The 9203-nt window shown below is 42.5% G+C and overlaps 1 long non-coding RNA gene across 1 annotated transcript in view; it reads left to right on the top strand.

The window, feature by feature from the left end:
* Nucleotides 1-8908, top strand: part of LOC107983960 (uncharacterized) — a 28789-nt gene extending 19881 nt beyond the window's left edge. Inside the window, exons 4-5 of the long non-coding RNA XR_949277.1 lie at nt 741-808; nt 8824-8908. This is a non-coding gene — a long non-coding RNA (uncharacterized LOC107983960). The remainder of the gene's footprint in view (nt 1-740; nt 809-8823) is intronic.
* Nucleotides 8909-9203: the final 295 nt, after the last annotated feature.

Here is a 9203-nt window from a genome sequence, read left to right on the forward strand (position 1 = left end):
GAGGCTGAGGCAGGAGAATTGCTTGAACCCAGGATCAGAGGTTGCAGTGAGCCGAGATCGTGCCACTGTACTCCAGCCTGATGACACAGCGAGATTCCACCTCAAAAAAAAAAAACAAAAAAAAAAAACAGTCAGGCATGGTGGCTTATGACTGTAATTCCGGCACTTTTGAGGCCAAGGTGGTAGGATCTCTTGAGCTCAGTAGTTGAGGCTGCAGTGAGCTGTGATTGCACCACTGCACTCCAGCCTGGGCAACAGATTTGGACCCTATCTCAAAATAAAAACATTCTGAGATGTTCTGAGGAAAAATTATTTTTAAACCAATTGTTTCATATCCAACCAAAAAGCATTCAAATGGTAGGGCAATGATATAAAAGTATTTGTAAACATTCAAGAACTCAGAAACAGACCTTCTCTAGAGTTAAGATTTGTTCAAAGATTATTTACTACAAAAAGACAATTTGATCTAAGAAAAAAATTACATAAAATATAGTTTAAATAATGGTGTGTAAAGTATCCAGGATAATTTATAGGTAAGTTCAATAAAATACATGGTGATGCCATCAAACCTTCAACTTTTTCTTAAGTTCAGGTTGCAATTTGCCTCTCTACCCCACCCTCCCAACAGTTTTATGTCGTGTGTAGACATCGCGCCATTAAATCCAGTAATAACTCACTGTCAGATATATTACATACATGCTAGCACTTAGATCAGCATCTCTCTGTCCTGGATCCCCCAGGTGATATGGAGGTGATCCTGGCCTGAATAAGGTTTGATGCCTGAGGTGGGCTGAGAATGACTTCAAAGGTATGTTCACATCTTAATTCTGGAAGCCTGTAAATGTGACCTCATTTGGAAATAGGGTCTGTGCAGATATGCCTAAGTTAAAGATCTTTAGGTAAGACAGTCTTCACAAGCATCTTTATAAGGGAGAGACAGACGCAAACAGAGGAGAAGGTGATGTGAAGTTGGAGGCAGAGACGGAAGTGCTAAGGAAGGCTGAGGACGTGCAGCAATGTTGGCAACACCAGAAGCTGGATATGGTGAACAGAGAACTCCCTTAGACCCTCTGGAGGGAGCCTGGCCCTGCTGGCACATTAATCTCAGACCTGGCTTCCAGCACTCTGAGAGGGAAATTTTTGTTAATTTACCAAATGTGTAGTAATTTGTCATCACAGCCACAGGAAACGAATACAATACCCTTTAACTGACACCACACATAAATACACACTCTCTACAGAACTGTGTTACTCCCCATCTCCGGCTTTGTTATGCCTGTACTTGGCTATGTTACTGCCCATATCTGGCTATGTTACTCCCCCCATCTCTGGCTATGTTACTTCTCATATCTGGCTATGTTATTCCAACCATCTCTGGCTATGTTACTGCCCCATATCTAGCTATGTTACTCCCCATATCTGGATATGTTAACTCCCCCATATGTGGCTATGTCACTCCCCATATCTGGCTGTGTTACTCCTCCCATATTTGGCTAAGTTACTTGCCACCAATGGCTATGTTACTCCCCTGATATCTGGCTATGTTACTTCCCCATATGTGGTTATGTTACTCTCTCCATATCTGGCTATGTTACTCCCCATCTCTGACTATGTTACTACCTCTATATTTGGCTGTTACTCCCGTCATATCTGAGTATGTTACTCATCATCTCTGGCTGTTACTCTCACATATGTGTCAGGGTTTCCCCATATCTGGTTATGTTACTTCCCACATATCTGGCTAAGTTACTATTCCATATGTGGCCATGTTACTCTCCCCATCTATGGCTATATTACTCCCCTCATATATGGCTATGTTACTTCCATCATAGATGGCTATGTTACTCCCTAATATGAGGCTATGTCACTCTCCCCATATCTGGCAAGTTACTCTCCATCTCTGGTTATGTTACTCCCCCATATGTGGCTATGTTAGTCTCATCATATCCAGCTATGTTACTCCCCATATGTGGCTATGCTACTCTCCCCATAACTCGCTATGTTACTCCCCTTCTATCTAGCTATGTTAGTCTCACCATATCCGGCTATGTTACTCCCCATATGTGGCTATGTTACTCTCCCCATAACTGGCTATGTTACTCCCCTCCTATCTGGCTATGTTACTTCCCTAATATGTGGCTATGTTGCTCCCCAGGTAAGGCTATAACACTCTCCACATATCTGGCTAAGTTACTCAGCGTCTCTGGCTATGTTACTCCCCCATATGTGGCTGTGTTACTCTCCCCAACTTTGGCTATGTTACTCCCCTCATATGTGGCTATGTTACTCTCCCCATATATGGCTATGTTACTCTCCCCATAACTGGCTATGTTACTCCACCATTTGTGGCTATGTTACTCTCTCTGTATCTGGCTATGTCACTCCCCTCATATCTGGCTATGTTGCTCCCTACGTAGATGGCTATGTTACTCTCCTCATGTCTGCCTATGTTACTCCCCTTATATATGGCTATGTTACTCTCCCCATATCTGGCTATGTTACTCCACCATTTGTGGCAATATTACTCTCCCCGTATCTGGCTATGTTACTCCCCCATATCTGGCTATGTTGTTCCCTTCATAGATGGCTATGTTACTCTCCCTATATGTGGCTATGTTACTCTCCCCATATCTGGCTATGTTACTCCCCATATGAAGCTATGTCACTTTCCCCATATTTCTAAGTTAATCCCCATCTCTGGCTATGTTACTCTCCCAAATGTGGCTATGTTTGTCTCACCGTATCTGGCTATGTTACTCCTTCATATGTGGCTATGTTACTCTCTCCATAACTGGCTATGTTACTCCCTCATATGTGGCTATGTTACTCCCCCATATGAGGCTATGACAATCTCCACATCTCTGGCTATGTTACTCCCCCATATGTACCTATGTTAGTCTCCCCATATGTGGCTAGGTTACTCACCCATATGAGGCTATGTCGCTGTCACCATATCTGGCTAAGTTACTCCACATCTCTGGCTATGTTACTTCCCCATATGTGGCTAGATTACTCCCCTCATGCCCGGCTATGTTACTCTCCCATATGTGGCTATGTTACTTTTCCCATCCCTGTCTATGTTACTCCCTTCATATATGGCAATGGTAATTCCACACATGTGGCTATGTTTTTCAATCCATATATGACTATGTTACTCCCCTCATATATGGCTATGTTACTCCCCCATATGTGGCTATGTTACTCTCCCCATCTCTGGCTATGTTACTCTCCCCATCTCTGGCTGTGTTACTCTCCTAATATCTAGCTATGTTACTTCCCCACATGTCGCCGTGTTACTCCCCCATATCTGGCTATGTTACTCCTCCCATATCTGCCTATGTTACTCCCCCATATCTGGCTATGTTACTTTCCATCTCTGGTTATGTTACTCCCTCTATATTTGGCTATGTTATGCCCCCAATTCTGACTATGTTACTCCCCCCGTATCTGGCTATGTTACTCACCCATATCTGACTATGTTTCTCCACCTATATCTGGCTATGTTATTCCCTATCTCTAGCTATGGTACTCCCCTCATATCTGCATGTAACTCCCCCATATGGCTCTGTTACTCTCCCCATATCTGGCTATGTTACTTACCAATCTCTGGATATGTTACTCCCTCTATACTTGGGTCTTTTACTCCCCTCATATCTGGCCATGTTACTCTCCATCTCTAGATATGTTACTTCCCCTATATCTGGCTATGTTATTCCCCCATATGTTATTATGTTACTCTCCCCATATCTGACTATGTTATTCCCCCCATATCTATGTTACTTCCCACCTCTGGCTATGTTATTCCCCCTAATGTGGCTATGTTAGTATCCCCATATCTGGCTATGTTATTCTCCCATATGTGGCTTTGTTACTCTCCCATAGGTGGCTGTGTTACTGTCCCCATGTCAGACTATGTTACCCCCCAATATGTGGCTATGTTAGTCTCCCAATATCTGGCTATGTTATTCCCCCATATATGGCTATGTTACTTTTCCATATGAGGCTTTGTTACTCCCCCATAGATGACTGTGTTACTCTTCCCAGGTCTGGCTATGTTACTCCCCCATATGTGGCTATGTTAATATCCCGATATCTGCCTATGTTATTACTCCATATATGGCTATGTTACTACACCATAGGAGGCTATGTTACTCTCCCCATAACTGGCTATGTTACTTCCCTCCTATATGGCTATGTTAATCCCCCATATGAGGCTATGTTACTTGCCCCATATCTGGCTATATTACTGTCCTCATATGTGCCTATGTTACTCCCCCATATGAGGCTATGCCACTCTCTCCATATCTGGCTAAGTGCTCCTCATCTCTGGCTATGTTACTCCCTCATATGTGGCTGTGTTAGTCTCCCAATATCTGGCTATGTTACTCCCCATTATCTGCCTATGTTAGTCTCCATCTCTGTTTATGTTACCCCCTCTGTATTTGGCTGTTATTCCCCCGTATGTGACTATGTTACTCTCCCCATATATGGCTATGTTGCTCCCTTCATATATGGCTATGTTACTCCCCCATATGTGGCTATGTTACTCTACCCATCTTTGCCTATGTTACTCCCATCATGTCTAGCTATGGTACTTCCCCATATGGCACTCTGCCCATTTCTGGCAATGTTACTCCTCTCATATCTGGCTATGTTACTCATCATCTTTGGTTATGTCACTCCCTGTATATTTGGCTATGTTATTCCCCCCATATCTGGCTATGTGACTCCCCTATATCTGGCTGTGTTACTCCCCCATTTCTGACTATGTTTTTGTACCTTTGGCTATGTTATTCCCCATCTCTAGCTATCTTACTCCCTTCATATCTGGCTATGTAACTCCCCCATATGTGGCTATATTATTCTCCCCATATCTGGATATGTTACTTACCAATCTCTGGCCATGTTACTCCCTCTATAATTGGTTCTATTATTCTCCTCCTATCTGGCTAGGTTACTGCTCTCCATATGGCTATGTTACTCCCACATATGATGTTGTGTTACTCTCCCCATATCTGGCTATGTTATTCCCTTCATATCTGGCTATGTTACTCTCCTATAAGAGCCTATTTTGCTCTCCCCATCTCTGGCTATGTTATTCTCTTCATATCTGGTTATGTTACTCTCCTATACGAGCCTATGTTGCTCTCCCCATCTCTGGCTATGTTATTCCCTTCATATCTGACTATGTTACTCCCCCAATATGTGGCCCTGTTACTCTCCCTGTGTTTGGCTGTTAAACCCCTCATTTCTGGCTATGATAGTTCCCCATATGTGGCTATGTTACACTCCCCATATCTGGCTATGTTACTCCCCTCATATCTAGCTATGTTACTCCCCCACATGTGGCTATGTTATTCCCCTCTTATCTGGCTATGCTACGCTCCCACATGAAGCGACTGCACTCTCCACATATCTGGCAAAGTTACTCACCATCTCTATGTTATTGTCCCACATGTGGCTATGTTAGTATCCCCATATCTGGCTATGTTACTAGCCCATATGTGGCTATGTTACTTCACCTATATCTGGCTATGTTACTCCCCCCATATCTATGTTCTCCACCTATATCTGGTTATGTTATTCCCCATCTCTAGCTGTGTTACTCCCCTCATATCCAGCTATGTAATTCCCCCATATATAGCTATGTTACCCTCCCTCTCTCTGGCTATGTTACTCCCAATCTCTGGCTATGTTACTTCCTCTATACTTGGCTATGTTACTCCTTTCTTATCTGGCTATGTTACTCTCCATTTCTAGCTATGTTACTTTCCCTATATCTGGCTATGTTACTCCCCCATATGTGGTTATGTTACTCTCCCCATAGCTGGCTATGTTACCCACCCATATGTGACTGTGTTACCCTCTCCATATCTGGCTATTTTATTCCCCTCATATCTGTGTATGTTACTCCCCTCATATATGGCTATGTTACTCCCCCATATGAGGCTATGTCACTCTTACCATGTCTGGCTGAGTTACTTCCCATCTCTGGCTATGTTACTCCCCCGTATGTGACTATGTTAGTCTCCCCATATCTGGCTATGTAACTCCCCTCATGTATGTCTATGTTACTCCTTCATACGTGGCTCTGTTACTCCTTCATATGAGGCTATGTTACTCTCCCCATTTCTGGCTATGTTACTCCCCTCATATCTAGCTATTTTACTCCCCAATATGTGGCTGTGCTACTCTCCCCATCTCTGGCTGTTTTACTCCCAATCTCTGGCTATGTTACTCCCTCTGTATGTAGCTATGTTACTCCCCTCTTATCTGGCTATGTTACTCTCCATCCCTAGCATGTTGGTTTACCTATATCTGGCTATGTTACTCCCCCATATGTGGCTATATTACTCTCCCCATATCTGGCTATGTTACTCCCCTCATATCCAGCTATGTTACTTTTTCATGCATGCCTATGTTACACTCCCCATATCTGGTGCTTTTACTCCCCTCGTATATGGCTATGCTACTTTCCCATATGTGGCTGTTACTCTCCCCATATCTGGCAAGGTTACTCCCCTCTTACATAGCTATGTTACTCCCCCATATATGGCTATGTTAGTCTTCTCATATCTCGCTGTGTTACTCCCTTTCTCTGGCTATGTTACTTTTCCTATGTCTGGCTACATTACTCCCCCTAAATCTGGCTACTATAGCTATGTTACTCCTCCCATATATGGTTATGTTACTCTCCCGGTATCTGGCCATGTAACTTATCCAAATGTGGCTATGTTACTCCTCCATATGTGGCTATGTTACTCTCCCCATATCTGGCTGTGTTACTCCCCATCTCTGGCTATGCTACTTTTCCATATGTGGCTATGATACTCTCCCTACATCTGGCTATGTTACGCTTCATCTCTGCTTATTTTACTTCCTCTGTATTTGGCTATGTTACTCCCATCATATATGGCTATGTTGCTTTCCTCATTACTGGCTATGTTTCTCCCCCATCTCTGGCTCTGTTAATTTCCATATATTTGGCTATGTCAGTCTCCCATATGTGGTTATGTGACTCCCTCTATATCTGGCTATGTTACTCTCTGTATATTTGGCTATGTTTCTCCCCTCATATCTGGCTATCTTACTTCCCTTCTCTGGCTATGTTACTTTCCTATATGTGGCTATATTACACTCTCCATATCTTGCTACATTACTCTCAATCTCTCGCTATGTTACTCCCTTGATATTTGGCTATGTTACTCCCCATCTCTGGCTATGTTACTTTCCTTATATCTGACTGCGTTACTCCCCTCATATCTGGCTGTTTCTTCCCGTCTCTGGCTATGTTATTCCCCATCACTGACTATTTTACTTTCTCTGTGTCTGGCTATGTTACTTGCCCATAAGTGATTATGTTCCTACCCCCATATCTGGCTATGTTACTCCCCATCTCTGGCTATGTTAATCTCTGTCGTTGGCTATGTTACTTTCTGTGTATCTGACTATGTTATTCCCCCTATATCTGGCTATGTTAACCCCAGTCTATAGCTATGTTACTTTCCCTATACCTGGCTTTGTTACTCCCCCATATGTGATTATGTTACTCTCCCCCTATCTCGCTATGTTACTCCCCCATACATGGCTATGTTCCTTTCCCCATATCTGGCTATGTTACCCCCTGTCTCTGGTTGTTATTCCCAATATATTTGGCTGTGTTACTCCCCTCATATATGGCTATGTTACTTTCCTCATATCTGGCTATGTTATTTCCTATCTTTGGCTATGTTAGTTTCCTTATACCTGGCTATGTTACTCCCCCATATGTAGTTATGTGACTCCTGCCATATCTGGCTTTGTTATTCCCCATCTCTGGCTATGTTACTCTCTATATTTGGCTATGTTACTCTTCATCTCTGGCTATGTTACTCCCCCATACCTGGCTATGTTACTCTCCCATATCTGGCTATGTTACTCTCCCCATATCTGGCTATGTTACTCTCCCCATATCTGGCTATGTTACTCCCTGTCTCTGGCTATGTTACTCCCCATATCTCACTATCGCAGTGCTTCTAATATTTTAGATTCTAGAAGAGTAAGATTTCACATGATAATTCTGGCAACTAACATTGGATTGCCCAATTTCTTTATCCTAAAATCACATGGAAGAATAAAAATCATCTACTATCATTGGTTCATAAATGGAAGGACATTTTAACATGATAGGTATTTACAAAAAACAATTCTTTAACTTGAATACATTTAAATGTATGAGAAACACACACTGTTATCCATACCATCATTGTGCAATGGAGCAGTTGGAAACTTCGTGACAGCTGGGTCTTCACCTATAAATGGGCATTTGGCCCTACTGGCTCTGTTGGCTTAAGTCTGACATACCTGTTTCTTTACCTTCTTTACCCTACTATTTGCTATCCCAGCCAGCTGCCAAAGAAAGTGTGCAGAAATTCTAGAACTCTTCTCTATCCAGTTCCCTCTACAAATCAGATTTAGATCAATGGAGACTACAGTCAAGGAGTATCATTGTATATGTTGGTTAGCAAGAAAATCAAGGATTATCACAAAAGAATAACTTTCTAATTTTTTATATACGAAAAAATTATCTTTCCATTACTATGTTAAAAATATAACATTCTTAAGTTTTAAAGATTTATTAACAAAAGGAGAGAAAAACTAAACATATAGCATCAAGAATTAAAATAGAGATAAAGAGAAGTTTAAGAAGAAATAAGATAATATACAGTTGACTCTTGGACAACAAGGGCTTAAACTATACGGGCTCACCTATATGCAGACTTTCTTCCATCTCTGTCACCCCTGAGACCACAAGACCAACCCATCCTTCTTCCTCTTCCTCAGCCTACTCAATGTGAAGACAATGAAGATGAAGACCTTAATAATGATCTACTTACTCTCAATGAATATTAAATATGTTTTCTCTTCCTTATGATTTTCTTTTCTCTAACTTACTTTATTATAAGAATGTAGTATGTGGCCGGGCGCAGTGGCTCACAGCTGTAATCCCAGCACTTTGGGAGGCCTAGGCTGGTGGATCACGAGGTCAGGAGATCGAAACCATCCTGGCTAACATGGTGAAACCGTGTCTCTACTAAAAATACAAAAATTAGCCGAGTGTGGTGGCACGCACCTGTAGTCCCAGCTACTTGGGAGGCTGAGGCAGGAAAATGGCGTGAACCCAGGAGGCAGAGCTTGCAGTGAGCTGAGATGGTGCCACTGCA

Source organism: Homo sapiens, chromosome 1, assembly GCF_000001405.40.
Source record: "Homo sapiens chromosome 1, GRCh38.p14 Primary Assembly".
NCBI lineage: Eukaryota > Metazoa > Chordata > Mammalia > Primates > Hominidae > Homo > Homo sapiens.